Below are 23,486 nucleotides of genomic sequence, written 5' to 3' on the forward strand. Positions count from 1 at the left end.
GTCTTTCTTCCATCATGTAAGAAGAAATGATGAGATGGCTGAACTCTTACGGTGCTTAGATTTCTAGGAAGCAAGAAAAATCATACTTTCTCCATTGAGTCCTGCACCCCAGTGACTCAGTTTGTCCAGTTCACTGGCTTCTTTTCCTCTTTGCAAATGGAACTCACCTAGACTCTTGTGATTTTAATTTGCATTTTCTAATGAAGAATGATGTCAACTTTTCATGTGCTTATTTGCATATCTTTGGTGAAATCAGTACAAATGTTTTGCCCATTTCAAAAATAAGCTGTTGGCCGGGCATAGTGGCTCATGCCTATAATTCCAGCACTTTGAGAGGCTGAGATGGGTGGATCACTTGAGGTCAGGAATTTGTGACCAGCCTGGCCAATATGGTGAAACACCATTTCTGCTAAAAATACAAAAATTAGCTGGGCGTGGTTGTGCACACTTGTAATCTGAGCTATTAGGGAGGCTGAGGCGAAAGGATTGCTTGAACCTGGGAGGCAGGGTTGCAGTGAGCCAAGATTTTGCCACTGCACTCCAGCCTCAGGGAAGGAGCAAGATTCCATCCTAAAGGAAAAAAAAAAGGTTGTTTTCTTATTATTGAATTTTAAGGTTTCTTTATGTGTTCTAGATAAATCCTTCAGCAAATATATGGTTTACACATATTTTCTCCCACTGTGTGATTGGTCTTTTCATTTGCTTAACAGGGATTTTTAAAAAGTATTTATTTATTTATTTAAATTATTATTATTTTTTTGAGATGGAGTCTCGCTCTGTTGCCCAGGCTGGAGTGCAGTGGCGCAGTCTCGGCTCACTGCAAGCTCCACCTCCCGGGTTCATGCCATTCTCCTGCCTCAGCCTCCCGAGTAGCTGGGACTACAGGCGCCTGCCACCACGCCCAGCTAATTTTTTTGTATTTTTAGTAGAGAAGGGGTTTCACTGTGTTAGCCAGGATGGTCTCTATCTCCTGACCTCGTGATCTGCCTGTCTCGGCTTCCCAAAGTGCTGGGATTACAGGCGTGAGCCACCGTGCCTGGCCAAAAAAAGTATTTATTATGTTTTTTAGAGGTGGGGTCTTGCTGTGTTGCCCAGGCTGGTCTTGAACTCCTGGGCTCAAGTGAACCCACCTTGGCCTCCCAAAATGCTGGGATTATAGGCTTCAGCCACCATACCCAGGATCAGCCTTGTAATATTTGTAGAATCTGTAGTGACGTCATCTTTCTCATTTCTTATATTGGTAATATGTGTCTTTTTTTTCTCAAGCAGTCTAGCTAGAGGTTTATCAATTTTATTGATATTCTCAAAGAACAGCTTTTGGTTTCATTAGTTTTCTTTATTGTTGGCCACAAGATTTTGGGGACCTAAAGGCAAGTGTGCTTCAAATAAATTTAGCCTTATTATATTATGTAGAATTGGGAATGATAGGTATTTCAGCTAATAAATTAATTCTATGTCAGCATTTCCCTAAGTATGGTGATGAATAGAGTTTTAGGCTTCTCTCAGGTATCATCTGGATTTTGTTGTTCAAAATAATTTTGTATTTATTTTGTTGCAGGTTAAAAAGTATACAGACTTAAAAGACTAAACTGCATGAAGCATTTTAGTTTTGTTTTTCCGTTATGGAGTGAAACTTGCCAACTTCACTTATTTATAAGAAGAGAATCTGAAATGGAATTTGGAGAAACATGAATTTATAGGGTCTTTTTTTTTGCCCATGTGCCATTAAGTACTTTGTAAAATTTAAAGGCCTATAAAAATAAGCTATGACTCAAACCCCTGGAAAGATCAACATTTTGGAAGTAAAGTTTAATACATTAAAACTGGATTCTGCTTTCAGAATTATAAATATTGAGCTACAAGAGACACTATACATCAACACGTGAAAACCTGGATATGGTTAAACAGACCCTAGGAGAGTGTATAGCTAATATTAATTTTTGTTATTTCACAAATTAAGATTTAACAAACATTGTGTGCTTTGTGTTACATCCTTCCATATTACATGGCCTTAAATATTAAGCTTTGATGCAAAATTGCCTTGTTATAAAACAGATTGGATTATGTTCATTTTTGCCAGTTTGCAGTTGAATAGGCAGCAGACAGCAGAAACTCTTGAATATACCAACAATCCATTAGCTACAGCTATTTTGCCAATATTACTGGATAAATTTTAGAATAACCAACCTGTGTGGGGGCAGCTTAGCTGCTCACATATGTGCTCACAAGGAAGGCTCATATCTTCAAAAGGCAAATAGCTTTTTTCTTTGGGGTAGGACCTAGCATAGTGCTGTCATAAGGTAACCATGAGGAGAATCACATAAAGCCAGACCAAAGTGAATCAATTTACAATTTGAATAAACTTTGAAATCACAGTAAAAAATACTGAAAAAGTTCTAAGATGCCCTCAAAGATTTACTCTAATGCCGAAATAAAGGGGATGCTTTCTTCACGTTTTCATTCATACTATTCATGTTTTCTCCTGATATTATATTTTAAAAAGAAAGTTTACATAAAAATTTAATCTTTGTATATTGGATTTTTTTTAATTTGGCTCAACTATTTTAAGAAAAGGGAGTCCTGTAATGATATCATTTGAGCTAAGCCAATTTCTTTTAGAAGCAAAAAATCTGCCAGATGTTGCTATTATGAAACAGTGAGCTAGCATTTATAATTCATTTGACACCTGGATATACTGGCGTAAACAATGGCTTTTTATATGATGAGGCAGTTCTAATTTAAGTTCAGTGCTTCATCTGTTTTCTTGTAACTTTATTAGTACTAATGGACAAGCCTAGGCATATGTCCATGGACTGCCTTTTGGCATTCAATGTTAGAAATGGTTAATAAGCAGGGAACACATTCCATCTGGGAAAGCTTCACTTGCTGCTGTGTAATTTTGAACCTGTTTTTTTGATGTTTCTGGGCCTAGTTCTGTTGTGTGTCCCTGAGAGACTGAGGGCAGCACTAATTCGAATTATCTGGTAAAAGCCAGAGTCATGTAAAGCACTAGTGTTCACTTGAAAGGCATTCAAAGAAGGCATTTTCTAATGCCTAAAACCAGTATGTCGAAGATGATGAAACACTACCTTATAATTAAGTCAGCAAGAGTCAGAAAAACTATTTGCTAACTATAGTCTTCTTAGATTCCTCTGTTTTTGAGTGAATAAACAATCCCTTTTCAGCACAAAATAATTTGCATCACCAAAGCTGATACCTCTGGTAGCCAAGCATGCTTTACTTACTGCAATTAAGGTCATATGCTTGCTTTGCTATGACTTGTCTGCACTTAGGTTATTATGTATGAGGTATTAAGTGAAAGGAGGATTCAGGCAAATTCTTAAAAATTTATGTTTTAATTTAAAAAATTTTAATTTGGCACAGCCAGATTTGAAGTCATACTGATAGGGTCTCTAGATCCTGAACAATATTACTTTTTACAGTTTGTGAAGCATTCACCTACAAATAATCGAACTTTAATTAAAAGTTAACTTCTGTTTTTGATTTCAGAATCAACTGGTTTATATAAAACATTTGAATTTTAACTCTTTACTTGAAAAAAAAAACAGATGAATCTTAAATTCAGCTGATTAGTAAATAAAACAAAACAGCAGAAATTAAGCATATACCCCAAATTGTTTTAATTAACTTAGCCTTTTGTAGTTTTAGCATCTATTGTATTCTAAAGATAATAGGAATGTAAGTTATGCTACATCTTAGTGTATGTTAAATTGCTTTAATCATACCACTTAAGGGGTACTCACAGAATACAGGTTACCTTCCAGCATCTAGACCTCTCCCACTCCTCCCCCCCAGCCCCATCCCCAATAATAAAATAGAAGAATTTCATTCCAAGTAAGGATTATTGTACTTGGGAGACAATGATGTTCCCATCTTTGAGGACAGTGTATCTTACATGAGAACCTCCTATCTCTTACTGATTGTGAGTGGATTATTTCGCTGACCCTAATGTTTAGGTGTGCAGAATTCTGCAAGTTGAACATAGAGATTTAACATATTAAGTAGTCCATTTAACTTAAGCCAGATTTGGCTGTACAAGCTCATTCCCCTGGAATCCTCCCACATTAAAGGAATTTTTAAGAGGTAAAAAACCCAAAAGGGAGTGGGGAGAATGGGAGGAAACACAGCACTGGGCCAAAGCAATTCAGCAAATTTTTGAAAGATGGAAAATAGAAGGAAGAATAGCAGTAAATGATAGAAGAGGAGAAGCTATACTGGGATTCCTGCCAGGAGGAAAATGATTTGAGAAGGTAACGATTTGCTGTGTAAACCCAGAAAGGCTCAGGGCACAGAGGCCCAAGTATTGAGTAATGCAGGGGTGAAATGGAGGCTATCGTGGGACTAGCTGGAAGTCTATGGAGGCAGGAAAGGACCCCAGGTCCTTTCCCACCCCATGTAGTCATATGATTACCCTTTTCAGAGCAACAGATCGGAGGTTTATTTTCTGAAAAACAAACAAACAAAAAAACAAACCTGATAAGCTCTAGACTTGGGAACACCAGACACAACTGGGTTAGTGGAAACACTGAAAATAGCATGGAAAAAACGAAAAGCCTGCATTACTGAACTGGGATTTCCCTGGACCTATTTCCTGCCCTGTTTCCATAAAGCAAGCAGCCAGACCTACAAGTACTTTCTGGGCCCCAGACAAATTCTTCTCCGTAGAAACAAGGTAGCTGCTGTTTTCTTTCTCTGGAACTCTAGTTTACTGAGATGTTGGACTTACTAATTAAAGATTATTATTTTTTCCTCCAGATTTATTGAAGTGTTATTTAAAAATAAAATTTCCCTACTTTAAGTGTATAGTTTTATTAGTTTTGGTCACTGTACACAGTTGTGTAACCATCACCACAATCATGATACAGAACAGTTTCCTGACGCTGAAAAGTTTGCTTATGCCCTTTGCATGATGATTGATCCCCTCCCTTGGTCACTGGTCCCAGGCAGTCACTGATCTGCTTTCAGTCACTATGGTTTTGCCCTTTTTAGAATGTCATATAAATAAACTTATGTAGTAGTCTTTTCTGCCTGGCTTCTTTCACTGAACATAGTGATCACAAGATTGGTCAGTCTTTGTAATATAAATATTTCATTCCCTTTGTGTGCTGAGTGGTATTCCACTGAATTAATATGCCAGAATTTGTTCATCTCTTCATCGGTTGATGGACATTTGGTTTGTTTTTCATGCTACCCCTTTATAGTCACACTCATTTCCTTCTCCCCCACTATCTTGAATCTGGCAACCAATAATTTATGATCTTGTCATTTTAAAATATTAGCTGGGCATGGTGGCTCACGCCTGTAATCCCAGTACTTTGGAAGGCCAAGGCAGATAGATCACCTGAGCTCAGGAGTTCAAGACTAGCCTGGACAACATGGCAAAACCCTGTCTCTACCAAAAATACAAAAAATTAACCAGCTGTGGTGGTGTGCACCTATGGTCCCAGCTACTTGGGAGGCCAAGGTGGGAAGACTGCGTGAGCCTGGGAGGCGGAGGTTGTAGTGAGCCGAGATCACACCACTACACTCCAACCTAGGTGACAGAGTGAGACTCTGTCTCAAAAAAAAAAAAAAATTATATACATGGAATCATACTCAGTTGGACCCTTTGAGATTGCCTTTTTTTTCTTTCAATATAATGTCCTTGAGATCCCTTCAAGGTGTTGCATGTGCCAGTAATTCCTTTTTACTGTTGAGTAGTCGTCCACGGTATGGATGTATCCCAGATTGTGTAGCCATTCACCTACTGTAGGACAGACATTTGGGTTCCCCCCAGTTATATTCAAATCGGATATGTGGAAGGGTAATTCTTTAGGAAATGTGGAGCCACTGAAGGTTTTTGTTTGTTTGCTTTGAAGACTTTTGTGGAGGGGAATAAAAGGATTGTATCTGAGCTTTTGGAAGATTATGCCAGCAATTCTACTTAGGATATTCTAGATTTTTTTTTTTTCCCCCAAGACGGAGCCTCGCTCTGTCTCCCAGGCTGCAGTGCAGTGGGGGCTTCTCAGCTCAATGCAACCTCCGCCTCCCGGGTTCAAGCGATTCTCCTGCTTCAGCCTCCCAAGTAGCTGGGACTACAGGCGTGCGCCCCCACGTCTGGCTGATTTTTTGTATTTTTAGTAGAGATGGGGTTTCACCATGTTGGCCAGGATGGTTTTGATCTCTTACCTCGTGATCCACCCACCTTGGCCTCCCAAAGTGCTGGGATTACAGGCGTGAGCCACCACGCCCGACCAGGATATTCTAGATGGTCTTGATGAAGGGTGGTAAGAGCATGAACAAGACTTGTGGTCTTTCAAATTCTCATATATTCATTGAGATTATCTATTTATTGTCTATTATATTCCAGAGACTGAAACTGTAATTGTGTTAGATACTAGGGATATGAAGACTAGTATGACATAGTCCCTGTTCCCAAGAATTCTCAGACTAAGTAGAGGGCAATAGTTACATACAAATAAACATACTTTAGTGCTATAGATGTTATCAAAGAAGTCTATACCTGACTCATTAGAAATACATATAAAGTGGGAGCGTGAGGGTCAGCAAAAGATTCAAAGAATTATGAACTAAAATAACATGTGTAGTGCTCAGAACAGTGCCTGGCACATAGTAAGCAGTCGACACAAATTAGTAATTATTGTTAGTAATGGTGGTATACGGAGGCAGGAAATAGTCTAGTCCAATTGATAAGCATAATAAAAAAGCAAGATAAGAAGTGCTTTCATGAAGAACTCATATGCTTTCACCTGCCTAGAAGTGAGAAGAGATAGATGCTTGCTCCTCTCCTTTGGCCTCAGGTAAGCTTTCTGTTTCAGAGACAATGGTCTCCAAACTTCTCCCTCATCTATTTGCCAAAAGGAGTATGAATAAAAGGGCCAATATTCAAACAGAAAACAAATATAGTATACTCTTTGCTGCAAAGAGTTTAAAGGTACATGCTTAACCTTGTGACCAGCTCCTCCAGTTACTGCTTGGACAGATCAATTGAAATTCGTCAATCGGTCTTGTCTTTAATAAGTAAATTAGAGCAGTAAAAAACATAGCTTCCTGTGTGTGGGGTGAAAGGTTGGAAAGTCACTGCTCATGAGTATGGAGTTTCTTTTTGGAGTGATAAAATGCTCTAAAATTGATTGTGGTAATTGTTACAAAACTTTGTGAATGGATTCAAAACCACTGAACACTTTAAATAGGTGAATTGTATGATATATATAGTTCAATAAAGCTGTTATTTACAAAAATTATGTAGTGATCTGGAAAGTTGATCAAGTGATTACTAGAATAAAAACAAAATAAAACATAACCACATACTAACTTGGTGTCATCACAGTTAGTTTCAACTCTGGTTCCTGAAAACATAGTTCTGCCTTTCTTTCCAATCGATATTTGAGGCCAGTGTGTTTCAAAGAGGCTCACCATTCCCACAAATGTTTGACATGCCAGAACCCATTCATCCAACCCTGGGATTGTGGTCAAATGAAAGCTGGAAATAGGCCTGCTTTTCCTAGGCCAATTCAGTCTTCAACTTGCAAGCTCAGTGCCATCCAATTCTCAAACCCAATCCTGACCAAGGCCCCATCCAGAGGTCTGTATCTGATGTGCCTGCGATGAAGGCAGGAGGGAGCCTAGAGCAGTCACATCTCCCCTACCCTCACTGCATTTGAATGGATATACCTGGGCTCCCACTTATAAGTGAGAACATGAGGTATTTGGTTTTCTGCTTCTGCATCAATTTGCTTAGGATAATGGCCTCCAGCTATATCCATGTCATTGCAAAAGACATGATTTCATTCTTTTGTATGGCTGCATAGTATTCCATGGTATATATGTACCACAGTTTCTCCATGTGGTAGAAGTGACCAGTGTTCTCAAGCCTGTATGCCTGTCTGGCTGGGCCCTGATTATTTCTCCAGGGGTTAGGCTTTACCTCTTATGTTCCCAGGCACAAGCTGGGGTCCTCCCAAACTGGGCAGACCATGTGCTCGATTTCAGGACCCGTATTACCTAGAGATTTTGTTCTTAGGTAATAAGCCCAAGTTTGCTTCTCTTCTTTGAAGATGGTCATTTAGAGTGCTGGCTACTTCACTTGGGGCAAGCCCAACAGCCAGCTTAGCTGTCCTAGTTTCAGAAACCAACTAATTTTTTTTCTTTTCCATTCCTAGGAGTCTACTGCTAAGATTTCAGCATGTCCTGTGGCTGAGTTAATCAGAGTTATGACAGGAAGGTACCGGGCACACCATCGCAATGCTCCATCAATGCTAGTATGTTGTGTTCTTTCCTTCATATCAAGTCAACTCAAGCTTGCTCTACTTACCTGGTGTACACAGTCTAAGAACTGTAAGAAGACTGGAGCAAAACCACTCCCCTGACAGTTGAGGGTCAAGCTGCTCCTCTGACTGAATTTGTGACCAAAAGAGAGCCACTCTTTTTCAACCAACATCTGGAAGCCTTCAAGTGTCCTATAAAAGGGATCACTGAGTAACTGAACCAGGGATGTCACCTAGGGCATAAGCAGGATGGATTGTCATTAATTTTAGTTCTGAAAAAGGCCTATTACTAAGATAAAAGCACTTCCTTCTGATGATAGCTAATTCACAAATTTACCTGGACAGCAAATTTGTTCACTAACCATTCCAGGATGGCCAATAAAATTAATTTTGTAAACTTGCCAGTAAAAACTAAAGCTCAAATTCATTTTGGCTACAAGTTTACTTTCAGGGAATTGAGACTTTAATCCTTAACTGGCCAGTTTGCTGACAGCAACCTTTTCCTAAGTTAATCAGAGGCCAGAGGATCAGTTAAAATCAATTCTACTTTTTGGCAGATGCAGATTAATGTCTTAATGTAGTCTGAACTCACACTTTTCACTCTGGAGTGAGTTAAGGCGGGGCTTATAGAGAGCCAGGGGATGGACTGACAAAACCCAGGAAGGATGGTCCACGCCTCACACTGCTGGTCAAGGGCTCCATCCGCAAGCCTGCATGGTACATCTGTGGATGGGAGAGCTTGATGCCCGGAGCCAGAGCTCCAGGCTGCGTAGGGGCTAAGAGCTCATGGTACGGAGTTTTCTGATGGATACCAGGTGCTGTTTAACACAGGACTTTCTCTGTCCATAAACACATTAGTCATTATACAAAAGAGTCATCTGAAGAATTTAAAAATGACCAAATGGAAATATAAATATAAAATATCAAAAAATATGTCTAATAGTTTACTTGTGCAGTGATGTCCCAGCCTTCCTCCAAACAGACCAAAACTGAGGAACCATTCTCAAGTACTTCTGATACAACCACAGCCAGCTGCATTATCCTGTGAAGCTAAGAGACAGGAAGGAGAACACAATTAGACCAAGCGCTTTCTGAGTGCAGAAGTCAGAGAGAGTTGCTTTCAACCCTGGATAATCAAACGACTTAGGGATAAAGCGCTTGCACAAAAGAACCACATAATGTTTTAAATACCTAAAGTTCTTTCAAATCAAGATTAAACAATGACACTTTTGACTGGATGCAATGACTCATGCCCATAATCCCAGCACTTTGGGAGGCCGAGCCGGGCAGGTCATTTGAGGTTCGGAGTTCGAGACCAGCCTGGGCAACATAGTAAGACCCCATCTCAATGAAAACAACAACAAAATGACACTTCAAAAAAGTAGACACATTTTAAAACAATACATTCTAGTAATACATAATGAAATAAAATTACCTTACATGATTCCCCCAAAAGTAGGTGAGCTATAATTCCATAGAGTACAAAAAACAGAGATTCTATGTGGACTTCCCAACAAAAGACGGAAATTCAGATGAATTTTATTGGATTTAAAATTTGTTTTTCCATGATGTAGTAAGTTTTGTTTCAGACATTTTTTTTTTTTTTTTTTGAGACAAAGTCTCGCTCTGTCACCCAGGCTGGAGTGCAGTGATGCAATCCTGGCTAACCACAACCTCTGCCCCCCGGGTTCAAGCGATTCTCCTGCCTCAGCCTCCCGAGTAGCTTGGATTACAGGTGCATACCAGTGCACCCGGCTAATTTTTTGTATTTTTAGTAGAGACGAGGTTTCACCATGTTGGCCAGGCTAGTCTTGAACTCCTGACCTCAGGTAATCCACCTGCCTCAGCCTCCCAAAGTGCTAGCATTACAGGCGTGAACCACCACGCCTGGCCTATTTCAGGTATTCTTAATTTTTTGGGAATTAGATAGTGGTGATAGTTACACAATGTTGTGGACATACCAAAAAGCGTTGAGTTGTGCACCTTTATCATAAGGATAAATTTTATGGTAAGTGAATTATATGTTAAAAAAGAAACTCCTGGCTGGGTGTGGTGGCTCAACGCCTGTAATCCCAGCACTTTGGGAGGTTGAAGCAGGAGTAGTGCTTGAGCTCAGGAGTTTGAGACCACCTGGGCAACATGGCAAAACCCCATCTCTACAAAACATACAAAAACCAGCCAGGCGTGGTGGCATCTGCCTGTAATCCCAGCTACTCAGGAGGCTGAGGTAGGAGGATCGCTTGAACCTGGGAGATCGAGGCTGCAGTGAGCTGTGATTGTGCCACTGCACTCTAGCCTGGGTGACAGAGCAAGACCCTGTCTCGAAAAATAAAAATAAAAAAGATACTCCTATTTGTCTATACTGTGTACTAAATGAGAAAAAAACTTTCAATATATTTGTGCTAAGTTTTTAAAGCCACATCAATTGGCTCAAAGTCCTTAATAAACAATTAAGGTATGAGAATAGTATATAGATTTTAAAACCAGATGTATAACATTGTAATTTTAAAAAATATTTTAATGATCATCAGACATAATTTGCAATTTGAATCCAACTCTGAACAAGAACAAAAATGAAAAAACCCATCTCTTAAACAGAGCTAGGCTACTTTAAACACAGGAATAAGGCAAATGCCCTACTCAGTAATGAGAAGCTCCTCATGTAACTGTTTCTACAACATAGCTATCACCAGGCCTGAATTCTTTTGGGCTCAGAATTTGTTCTAAGAAATGGCTATTATTAAAAAGTCAAAAAATAACAGATGCTGGCGAGCCTGTGGAGAAAAGGGAATGTATATACATTTCTGGTGGGAATGTAAATTAGTTCAGCCATTGTAGAAAGTAGTTTGGTGATTTCTCAAATAACTTAAAACAGAATTACCATTTGACCTAGCAATCCCATTACTGAGTATATACCCAAAGGAATATAAATTGTTCTACCATAAAGTCACATGCACACACATGTTCAGTGCTGTACTATTCACAATAGCAAAGACATGGAGTCAACCTATATGCCCATCAACGGTAGACTGGATAAAGAAAATATGGTACATATACACCATGGAATACTACACAGCCATAAAAAGAATGAGCTTATGTCCTTTGCAGTAACACAGCTGAAGCAAACTAACACAGGAATGGAAAACCAAATACTGCATATTCTCACTTATAAGTGGGAGCTAAACATTGAGTACACATGGACACAAAGAAAGGAATAGACGCCTGGGGCGTATTTGAGGTTGGAGGTGAGAGGAGGGTGAGGATAGAAAAACTACCTATCAGGTACTATGCTTATTACCTGGGTGATGAAATAATCTGTACACCAAACTCCCAAGATATGCAATGTACCTATACAACAAACCTACATATGTACCCCTGAACACAAAATAAAAGTTAAAAAAAGAATTTGCTTTAAGAGTTAACTTTTAAGATGTCAATATCCCAAGTGGGCAATTATTTTCCACTGTCTTTAGTCCCTATCTTTTGGTACAGGTCCACTTTCTAGCAAAGAGTAGAGCACAGAATGTATCAGAAACATGGATAGATAAGTTGGGTGGAGGGGTCCGTTTGGAGCTGGGGCTCATAGCCTGGGGACAGAAGGGAGTATCGACCAGTTCCTTCCACGGGTATGCAAAGCACCCTAAATTGCCTTAATAATAATGAACACAGCATGATACATTTATAGCCAAATATTTATGTGGCGGCATTTCTCTTTGGTTTAAGTATCTTGAGAACAGTCACAGCCCTGAGTACTGACATCATTTCCTTTTTTTTTTTTTGCCTTTTAGTCCAATGTGCTGTGGGAAACAAGAGGCAGGATGCTTGGAGGTAGATGGAGGCAGGGGACTGGGAATTTCTGCAAGGTGATAACAAATAATGGGGGCCAGGCGTGGCAGCTCATGCCTGTAATCACAGCTCTTTGGGAGGTCAAGGTGGGAGGATTACTTGAGGCCAGGAGTTCAAGACCAGCCTGGGCAATATAAGAAATAAAGGGGCTTAAAGACAAGGCCCTTTAATTTCTCAATAAAAGTTCAATTAAGAATATCCCAAAGTTGACTGAACTGAAAGATGATAGACACTGTGTTTTTTTTTCAAGCCTTAGGTAGGCTTGGGGGCATCCAGTGTGCCTTTGGTGGGTAGTGTGGGGTGGATCTAAAATCTAGAGACCTGGGATAGGCAGACAAATGAAAGGTGAGAGCTCTTGGGAGTCATGCAGAAGTTGCCCTCTGCCCTGGATCCTTACTGTATTGACAACAGAGCAGGAGCCCTGTAAATACATGCTGATTAAATTTACATCAAAGATTTCCATCTAAAAATAATTTTCTCCTTAGTGTCCTATAGATACCAAACTTTTAAATACACAGAGATAAAAACCCAGCGATCAAGACTTCTACTCCCTCACCTCCTATACCAGATGATTTCCTTAGTCTGAAAGGCCTTTACTGATGGCACACAATGAAGGAGGAGAATGTTGGGGAGTAGGGGAACAAAGTATTTTTTTTCTCAAATACAGTTCTGTATATCTACTTGGGCCTCTGTTTCTTTGAGTTATAAAGAAAGAAGCTGCTTCAGACATTACCTGTGGGAACCACTCAGAATCTCCCAGCGCTTTCAGGAAGGTCACTTCTGAGTCAGTAGGGATGGTGCTTGGGATACAAGCCCTCATCAGCTTCTTAAAACTGGCTTTCACTTGCCGGATTTCATGAAATTCAACAGGAACAAACTCACAATTTAAAGCAAATTCTACCTTGAAGTTCTGCGGATGAAGATTCAGAGAATTAGGCAGATGAAGTGCTATAGGTAAAAGAGTGATGTTTCCAATGGGGCAGTGCATAATGACAAAGTTATTTGGGGCCAAATAGCTGCAGAGGCTGCCAATGGGTCAAGAAAGTCAATCTTGTACAGCAATGTGTCAGTGTTGGTGGGAACAGCCATTCAGTACAAGCTAGTGGTTTGCCCAGAATGGCAAATCTAGTCCTTACTAGAGGTAGATTACTTAGCCTAAGAATGCGTTCATTCTGAGAACTGGAAGAGCCTACTGGTAGACTGGAACTTGATGGAGCTCATAATACCAAATATAAGTCAATTATAAGGCCATGAACCTGGAAGTTTAAAGAGAAACTAATGATACATGGACAGTATGATTACTCCAACAGTGTAAACTAAGTCTTCCCAAGATGTATATGGTAAGGGATAGGTAACACACTGTTGGAGTTCCAGACTGTACGTGTATTAAAGTTTGTAGATATGCACATATTTGTTTCTTATTATGCAAGTAAAACATATTCATAATAAAAATGAAAAAAGGTAGAGATAAATATTGAGAAAGAAATAGAAATCACTTTCTTACTGCCCCAAGACTACCAACATTGTGGTTATTTTTTTGTTTTTTTGGGATGGAGTCTTGCTCTGTCACCCAGGCTGGAGCGCAATGGTGCGATCTTGACTGACTGCAACCTCCGCTTCCCAGGTTCAAGCGATTCTCCTGCCTCAGCCTCCCGAGTAGCTGGGACTACAGTCGTGCGCCACCATACCCAGTTAATTTTTGCATTTTTAGTAGAGATGGGCTTTCACCATGTTGCCCAGGATGGTCTCAATCTTTTGACCTTGTGATCCGCCCACCTCGGCCTCCCAAAGTGCTGAGATTACAGGCGTGAGCCACCACGCCCAGTCCTACTTCTTAAAAGTCAATAATAAAAAATTACATGGTCGGGCACGGTGGCTCATGACTGTAATCTCAGCAGTCTGGAAGGCTGAGGCAGACAGATTACCTGAGGTCAGGAGTTCAAGACCAGCCTGGCCAACACGGTGAAATCCCATCTCTACTAAAAATACAAAAAGTAGCCAGGCGTGGTGACAGGCACCTGTAATCGCAGCTACTCGGGAGGCTGAGGCAGGAGAATCACTTGAACCCCGGAGATGGAGGTTGCAGTGAGCTGAGATGACACCACTGCACTCCAGCGTGGGCAGCAGAGTGAGACTCCACCTTAAAAAAAAAAATTACATAAAAAAACCACGAAAGGCTTTGTTCATTTCTATCTTTGGGATAATATTTTTTCACTTAATATATGTATCAACCTATATTTATTTGAGTACTTTCTCATTTACATCTTTAATCCTTATGGAATTTATTTTGTGTGTGGTATGAGTGTTGCATTTGCAATTAAAGAATGCTATACTGATGGCCTACTGGTATATTTCATTTTAATAACCTGGTTGCCTAGCTCTGAAGAAGATTTAAAAGTCCTCTAACTTTTCATGCCAAAGAATGAATTAATTTTCTCAAAATGTTTCCACTTTCTTTTCATTGTGCCCAAATTACTCTATTGGACCATCTGCTTTTCTAAGATTAAAACTGCTTTCTGGAGATTGGTTGCACAGCAACATAAATGTACTTAATAATACTGAGTCATACACTTAGAAATGGTTAAGATGGTAAATCTTGTTATGTGTATTTTATAATTTTTCCTTTGTCTTAATAATTCTATTTTTAAGGAAGCTATTCTAAGGAAATAATCTAATAGGAAAAAACCCCCAGGGAATGGTATCTCAATTAAAAAAAATAACAAAATAACTTATTTGCTTGGAATTGTGACTGTAATTTTATATACAGAAGATAAAGAAACCTAAACATCCAACAACATGGGATGAATAGTGACTAAAATAGTTATGAAGACTATATGACATGGAAACATAATGTTAAGGCTTCAGATAAATAACCTAGCGATATACATGAGTTCCTTTCTATTATTTTTAAAAACTTATAATAGACAAAACATAGTTTACTTTTCAGGAAAGGTAGATTCCTATTTCCCAACTATACATGAGCTAGGTATGCTTATCTTATAAACCAGGAGTTACTAACCAAAGTATTGAGACACTCCATTAGGTTGTAAGGAATTTGTTCCTAATAATAAAGTATTAAAGTATGTGAATTTACCTAGGTAAAGGCCAAATTCAAGATTATTTTCAGAATAAGTCACTGTAATTTATTGGCTTTCATGTTTCTTTGTTGGGAGAAAAAGGTATGGAATTGTAACTGGATGGCATTGTGCAAGCTAGAATGTGGCACATATCAGACAGATACAGAGCCATATTCTACATACAAAATTGAATAAAAGATAAAACCTGAATGGAATATATAGAATAGCTGACAACTATTGTGCCAGAATGGTGGGATTACATTTTTAAAAATAATAATACTTGTCCGGGTGTAGTGGCTCACGCCTGTAATCCCAGCACTTTGGGAGGCCAGGGCGGGTGGATCACAAGGTCAAGAGATGGAGACCATCATGGCCAACGTGGTGAAACCCCATCTCTACTAAAACTAAAAAAAAAAAAAAAAAAAAAAAAAAAAGCTGGGCGTGGTGACGCGTGCCTGTAATCTCAGCTACTCAGGAGACTGGGGCAGAATTGCTTGAACCTGGGAGGTGGAGGTTGCAGTGAGCCGAGATCATGCTACTGCATTCCAGCCTAGCGACAGAGTGAGACTCCATCTCAAAAACTTAAAAAAAATATAATAATAATATTTTATTGAGGAAGGGCAGACAGAAAGAAAAAGAGGGCAGGAGGAAGAGAGGGAAGGAAAAAGGCAGCATCCCAACTCTTTCTTACTCAAATACGTATGATCACATAGCTAATCTGAGAAATTATGTGCAAAGAGAATGGCAGAGGGGAGTATTAAGGAGCTAAACCTCGGAGAGTGATTCGGATCACGAGTAAGTGTTGTGCTGAAGCATGGAAAGTCTGTGCTCTGGAAAAGACACTGGCACCAGCAACCCTGGATTGCTGTAGAAAAGGGTTCTATTTTTTGGATATAAAATTATCTACTGTATCAGAAGACACATATGCAGATTTAAAACTTGAGCATTACCCAGCAGTTTTATGCCCTCTACCCTAAAGGTTAGTGACTAAGTGGTTGCAGCAGTCCAGGCAGTGGGAGAAGAGCTAGCAAAGCCACTAGCCTGCTCCAGAAGAGATGACTCAGTTACTGGCATCTTAAGGGCCAAGCATGTGGGATCTTGCTAATGGCACCCTGCTCACAGTTTCTGCTCCACGGTTCAGCCAGAGGTCTGTCTAGGTTGTCCAGTGCCAACTGGAGCACTGGATTAAACGTTGAGATTTCTGAGTTAACAGATAACTTTCATGTCCTATATACCTACTGGTAGTAATGAAATTTATTTTGTAATGTGTGACTTGCAAAACATTAAATTCAAGGAATTGTTGTTGCTTTTGGAGGAAAAGACCATCTTTACAATTTATGGGCCCTCAGCATGGTGAAGCTCTTTAGCGCAACAATTTAACAGTAAGAATAAAGTTGATTAGCATCTAGTATTTTGAATTTTCTGACACATCTTAGGACATGTGTCTCTTTCTATATAGCTTTGCGAAGTTTTAACAAGTGTTACTCAGAAAACCTAGACTTGGCCTTGCCTTGCCTCCATACATGGTACCACAGTCTTCCTCTCTCCATTCTTCTATGTTTCTGTAGCCTGCTTTAGGTTTACCATAACAAAACTATCTGTTTTGCCATGGGCAGATTCCTGTGGAAACTGAATCAAGGCTGTTGAAAACACAGCCTGATGAAGCCTTATTCCTTTTTTTTGTATGTATGTACGCTTCCTGATGTTTATGTTGATTTTTTACTATTATGAATAAATATTTATTTTCATGGCTAATAAATATGCATATGTATATACATGTATTGATATAAAAATTAATATATATAAATAAATACAAAAGGAGAGCTAAATTTTTTGAGATTATTAACTCCAGGTTAAGAATCATGCTGTAAAAAAAATTCTAGCAAAGCTGGTTTGTGATACAGGTTTTATCAACAGCCCTAGCGTATCCATAAAGTTTCTAAGTGAGAAAAAAGAAATCTTACCCTTAGTTGCGACTTTTCACCAAATATGTAAAGGGCTGCTTGCCGTTTCAAGAGCTGGTTTTGTAGGTAGCTGCTGTTACTGAAGGAGGCCGAGTGATCCTTGCCTGCCAGCCGGGCGCCAACATCAATGAAGGATGTTGGAGAGCTGATCAAGCGAGTGCTAGAGCGAAGACTTGCCCACACACCTTCACAAAAGCCAAAGTCGTGGAGTGAGATAATCTAATGTGGGAATGCCACTAACTAAGGAAAAAGGTGCATGCTCTGGAGCTACAGTTTTAGAGGTCATAGCAAGCTGATTAATCTAAAAACCGTAAGTCATATGGTCATTTGCTACTTCTGTAACATAAACATTATCCAATATAGCATTTCAAAATCACACAATCTTAGCCTCAGAATGACCTAGCAAATCCCCCAAATCAATCCTATTTTATATTTTGATGTAAATTCAGGATTTAAAAGTAAATACTAAGATCTTAAGCAGAAACAGTACATTGATACTGAAAACAAAACATGCTGGCAGGAGGTACTAATAAAGTCTAGGAAGGCAAATGCTGAGTTATGCAATTTCTCAGGGCTTCATGAAAAAAGTAAGGAACATTCTTCTGCTTATTTGGTCAATTTAACATGACATTTAAAGATATGAAATAGAAACTTCATAAGTCTACTAAAATCTGAAGCTGGATTTGGAATTAATATTTGTATATCATGCCAAAACGATGTAATTCTAAACAAGATTATATTATATTTTTCAGTATCCATGAAGAATGAGAATTATAAGTTTAGTAATGGGCACAGTGCCTCATGCCTGTAATACTAGCACTTTGGGAGGCCAAGGTGGGCAGATCGCTTGAGCCCAGGAGTTTGAAACCAGCCTGGGCAACATGGTGAAACCCCGTCTCTACCAAAAAAAAAAAAAAAAAAAAAAAAACTACAAAAAGACACCTGTATTGGGAGGCTGAAATGGGAGGATCACTTGACCGCTGGAGGTGGAGGTTGCAGTGAGCCAAGATAGCGCCACTGCGCTACATACTGGGCAACAGAGTAAGACACTGTCTCTAAAATAAAATAAAATAAATGAATAAAATGTACAGTCAGAAGCCTATATCTTTATTTTATTTTTTTTGAGACAGAGTTTCGCTCTTGTTGCCTAGGCTGGTGTGCAATGGCGTGATCTCAGCACATCACAACCTCCACCTCCTGGGTTCAAGCGATTCTCCTGCCTCAGCCTCCTGAGTAGCTGGGATTACAGGCATGCACCACCATGCCTGGCTAATTTTGTATTTTTAGTAGAGACGGGGTTTCTTCATGTTGATCAGGCTGGTCTCGAACTCCCGACCTCAGGTGATCTGCCTGCCTCAGCCTCCCAAAGTGCTGGGATTACAGGCATGAGCCACCACGCCCAGCCAGAAGCAGATACCTTCTAAGAGAAAGGGCAAGCTAAAATGCTAGCAGAGTCTCAATGAGATAAGATGACCTTAGTTATATTAATTAGAAAAATCAAGGATTTCTATATGCAAGTGAGACTATTAAATATCAAACATCCAGACACAAAGGCATGTACTAATTCTCAAATTTGACTAGCACTGTATCACCTTCAAATCAAGAGGCCCTCATAAATGCCTGTAGAACTGTGGTGTTTATCTCATTGATGGGGTCACAGGGATACAGGACTTTCCTACTGCCTCCCTCAAGTGGGTTTTCTTCTTTAGATCTAGAAAGCCTGTTTGAGAAGCTTTAGTCTTTTCCTAGTATTAAAGTCATGTTTCTAGGTGACCAGAAGTCACCATGATGTCACATCTGCTTCTCTTTCTCTTTATAAGCATTTACGGGGTCAGGAGACCAGTTCCCAAGAAAAGTTTTTATTGGTCATTTCAGCTTCACATGCACGAATCTTTCTTTGAGATGGAGTTTCACTCTTGTTGCCCAGGCTGGAGTGCAATGGCGTGATCTCGGCTCACCACAGCCTCTGCCTCCTGGGTTCAAGTGATTCTCCTGCCTTAGCCTCCCGAGTAGCTGGGATTACAGGTGCACACCACCACGCCCGGCTAATTTTTGTATTTTTAGTAGAGATGGGGTTTCACCATCTTGGTCAGGCTGGTCTTGAACTCCCGACCTCAGGTGATCCGCCCGCCTCAGCCTCCCAAAGTGCTGGGATTACAGGTGCGAGCCACCACACCCGGCTGCATGAATCTTTCTACGTAGTTTACGAGGTTTTCTTAGACATTATGGCAATTATTAATTTTTTTGTAAATGGAATCAGAGGAAATTCAGAATGCAGATGAGAATAAAGGATATAATTTTACAAATGCAAAAAAATTACTTGTAACATATGTAGTTTCACATGAAGATGGTTTAAAAGAGTGATATATCAGGACACATAATACAGTACCTTGATTATGGACTCTTCCCTTAGCTGAAGATTTGGGATTTGACTGAGTAAAACATTTATCTCTGTACCCATGCACTGGTAGGTAAGATTAAAGACAGAAAGAGAAATAAAATGTATATAGCAGCAAATGTCAGAGCAGATTGAGTAAGAGAAGAATAGGCTATTTAATTTTTAAAATTAGCAGGGGAAAAATGTAAATATAATAAAAGTAGAAGATTTAATTAACAAACAAAAAGCTGCACAGTCACAAAAAAAAGATGTATTGAGTACCTGTTAAATGAAATTTCAGCACCTGTTTATAAATACTATAAGCACAATGAAATGGACAGCACACAGCAGAAGGTGCCACTAAAAAATTATACCAAATGGAAGAAGCTTTTGAAGATTGTCATTCAGTCAGAAACAAATTTTTATAATAAAATTAAGGAATTTGGGGTGTGTATGGGTGAATGTTAGGAATACATTGGTCCTCATATTGAAGGAGAATGGCGAATGCTGCATGTTGTACAACACGTTTGTTCTTTGAGCAAGGTCATCACACCAGGAAACAATGAAGCTCTAGCAACCATTTGGAATAACTAAGGGCATGTTTTTGCAGTAGAGCATTAAGCATTGCCACGCTATCTTCCTTCTTCTCTTTTCATTTGGAAATTATATTTATTTTCCATAATTAGTTACGAGCAGCAAAAATTCATAATCCTGTGACAATACCCAATATCACTAATAATACAGCTTGTGATGACTGAAGTAATGACTTCTCTTAAAATCCCTACTTGCACCAAAATGACAGGCAGTATTAGAGATAATAGTTTTGTAATTTGAGTAATATATTTTTTTCCAACAGAAAGGGGTTTATGATGATGGCAAACCAAAAATTGTGAGCAGTTTTAGCACTTTCCAAGCAAACAAATTGCTCAAGTCAATTAGAAGAAATGATTTTATATTTATTCAGGATTACAATCTTTAATAGTAGTATTAAGTTATAAAATGCAAAAGTGTATAACATATGACATAACAAAAATCATTACAAGTGAGTTTTCACTCCCACTTCACTCCTTTGGAAGCAGAAAATGAAGGGCACTGATGGCTCTGGTGGCCAAAGGAAGCCAGAAAGTAAGGGCTGCAGAGGTGCTGGCTGATGACAGACAGAGAATGTGACTGCAAGATGGAACGAAGGCTTGGGACATGGCCAAGGCACACTGTGTGGCCTCCTCTGTGTTGGCTGACTGCTCTCCTTTCTGCCAAAATTTTGAACTTTCCTATTGAATATGGGACACTAAGATGATGACAGTGATGCTTGAGTAGTTCCTGATTCTGAGATACTGTTCCCTTAACACATCACACTTTCTTATGCTAGTCTTACTGCCTGGAATGATTTCCCCCATTTCCTTACCTGACACATTCCTACTTAACCCTTAAGATCCAGATACAATATTAGCACCTCTTAAAGGCATTCCTGACTGCTCCCAAGCTGAGGAGCTCTATTTGAACTTTGATCACATTGTGTCGATTATCTGTATATTCTTTCACTCTACAAGATTGTGTGTGTGAAAGGAAAATAAAAACTCAGGACTCCAGTTCACTACGTCAAAAGGAAAAAATTAGGCTGAAAGGTGAGACATAACAAGACGCTGCTTTTCCTTTTGTTCCTAAACAAACAGCTACAGTTAAAAGGTTAAACTTATCCACAGGTAGCTACTGGTATGTTCACTTTACCTTACAGATGAATACATAATTGACTATTCCCCTACCTGCTCCTTTTTTCTTGCAACATGTGGATTACTATACCCTCCCTCTTTCTCGTTTAAATATTAAAGCCCTCAAAATCATTGTTGGAGAAAGGCACAGACCTTTCTCCAGGGCGAGTCCTTAACCTTGGCAAAATAAACTTCTGAATTTATTGAGACCTGTCTCAGGTACTTTTTGGTTTACATGTGCTTGTGAGGGCAGGCACCTAATCATGTTTATTCTCGTATCCATGCTGAGAGCCTGAAATACAGGCACTCAAAGAATTTGTTGATTATTTACTTTTTGCAAACCAATACATTGTGAGCTGTTCTGACTCATTATTGTATCTTCAACCCAATTATTTGCACTGAAAGAGTGAAAAGGGGGTATTAAACAAAAAATATTAAGGACTCCCCCAAACAGAGGCTCATCAATGAAAAACTGCCAAGTTTTGGCCAATTAGTAGAAAATCCGCAATGATAAAATGGCCAGTACTGATATGGGGCCAGCAGGGAGCTTTGAGAATTCTAATCCCATCTGGAAGTCATTTTAACCAAAGGAATTAGACTACCGCATTGGTTGTTGGTGGTGAGGTCTACTTAGATTTCCTGAATGATTTCTAGATGTCCTGGGCACTTAACACCAGCAAAACGTCTCAAGCTGTGTTTTTCCAAGCTGCAGGATCCTCCTTAGTGGCTTGGGAAATCACTCTAATAGGTCAAATCAGTATTTTTTTCAAAATTAAACATTACAGTTGAAAATACTAATGAGCACTGCATGTGGTACGGATGAATATTGTTTCACAGAACTTTTGTTTTAGTGTATACATTATACATTTTGCATGTGCCTTAGTACTACCTGAATTGTGATATAAAATGAATGGGTATATATACATATAAATATAAAATACATTTCTTACTGCGAGTCATGATCAAACAAGTTTGAAAGTCACTGGCTAAACCTAGGGCATATGCCTTCTATCTCTTGCCTTAGATCAGTAAGGCTCAAAGCAATTTAAATGCAAATGTCGACTTTCTTCCCATTTCAGCAGAGTATTAGGCAATGGCAATGATAACAATAACTATAATAATAATGACAACTAACATCTATTAAAATGCTACTATGGGCTAGTTACTAAGTTAAATGTTTTACATATACTATTTAATTTATTCCTCATAACTACCTTAAAAGTCTATATTATTTTTTAAAGATGAAGACACTGAGAATTAAGAGGTTTCCTAATTTGCTTAATCACACAGTAAGTAGTGGGACTATGGTTTGAATTAGAATGTAACTAAACTCTTTTTTTTTTTTTTTTTTTTGAGACGGAGTCTCGCTCTGTCACCCAGGCTGGAGTGCAGTGGCGCGATCCTGGCTCACTGCAAGCTCCGCCTCCCGGGTTCAAGCCATTCTCCTGCCTCAGCCTCCCGCATAGCTGGGACTACAGGCGCCCGCCACCACGCCCGGCTAATTTTTTGTATTTTTAGTAGAGACAGGGTTTCACTGTGTTAGCCAGGATGGTCTCGATCTCCTGACCACGTGATCCGCCCGCCTCGGCCTCCCAAAGTGCTGGGATTACAGGCGTGAGCCACCGCACCCGGCCACTAAACTCTTAATGTATTGTTTCCTGAGGAACCATGTGACCTTGGACCCAATCAGTAAGAACCGGCTAAGGGGACTGCTTCAGGGAAGATATGACACAGTTCATTTTCCCCATAGGAATGCGTTACTGTTCAGAGAACTAGTGTTTCCTAAGCACTGGTGTTATTTCCTCTACTCTGTTCTGACGAAAGGGGAGAGGGAAAAGAGATGCTTAGGTCACATGTGGGGCCTTATTGATCACTGTGATCTTATACCTGGCCCAGTGCATGAGACACTAGATGTATTCAGTAAATATATCTGCACTGATACGATGCAACACTGAACTAATTCTAGTCCCAGTTATACTAATATTTGCTATGCAGCCTTGGCCAAGTCACTTAATCTCCCTGGGCCTCTTTAAATACATATCCTGGAGGTTATTTCAAGAATAAAATAATACATGGAGAAAAACTTAAAATGTAAAGGATGAAAAATTAAAAAGCTGCCTCCAAGTGGCTACTTCTCAAATATACCCAGCTATTATATTTTGGTATTTGAGAGGCAGTACTAATTTTCTCAAGGCATTTTTCTACTCAACAAAGAAATTTATCCA

At 39.4% G+C, this 23,486-nt stretch overlaps 2 protein-coding genes and 1 long non-coding RNA gene across 9 annotated transcripts in view; 2 read left to right on the forward strand and 1 right to left on the reverse strand.

The window, feature by feature from the left end:
* The window catches only part of SBF2-AS1 (SBF2 antisense RNA 1), a 53,027-nt gene extending 41,372 nt beyond the window's left edge, over positions 1 to 11,655 (forward strand). Inside the window, exons 2-3 of the long non-coding RNA NR_036485.1 lie at positions 8,184 to 9,620; positions 10,596 to 11,655. This is a non-coding gene — a long non-coding RNA (SBF2 antisense RNA 1). The remainder of the gene's footprint in view (positions 1 to 8,183; positions 9,621 to 10,595) is intronic.
* Positions 1 to 23,486, reverse strand: part of SBF2 (SET binding factor 2) — a 526,174-nt gene that overhangs the window by 20,997 nt on the left and 481,691 nt on the right. For all 7 annotated transcript variants that reach the window (NM_001425069.1, NM_001425070.1, NM_001424318.1 and 4 more), the window contains 4 exons: positions 17,176 to 17,360; positions 12,868 to 13,044; positions 9,237 to 9,338; positions 8,336 to 8,521 (listed from right to left, as the gene is read on the reverse strand). In NM_001425069.1, the coding sequence (NP_001411998.1) occupies positions 8,336 to 8,521; positions 9,237 to 9,338; positions 12,868 to 13,044; positions 17,176 to 17,360 (650 nt within the window). The remainder of the gene's footprint in view (positions 1 to 8,335; positions 8,522 to 9,236; positions 9,339 to 12,867; positions 13,045 to 17,175; positions 17,361 to 23,486) is intronic.
* On the forward strand, positions 18,333 to 20,310 carry LOC124902802 (protein GVQW1-like; the record flags this gene model as incomplete). Its single annotated transcript, XM_047428003.1, has 2 exons — positions 18,333 to 18,533; positions 20,239 to 20,310. Coding segments are annotated over 2 exons (273 nt in total), but the record flags the coding sequence as incomplete, so codon positions are not given.

This window comes from Homo sapiens, chromosome 11, assembly GCF_000001405.40.
Source record: "Homo sapiens chromosome 11, GRCh38.p14 Primary Assembly".
Lineage (NCBI taxonomy): Eukaryota > Metazoa > Chordata > Mammalia > Primates > Hominidae > Homo > Homo sapiens.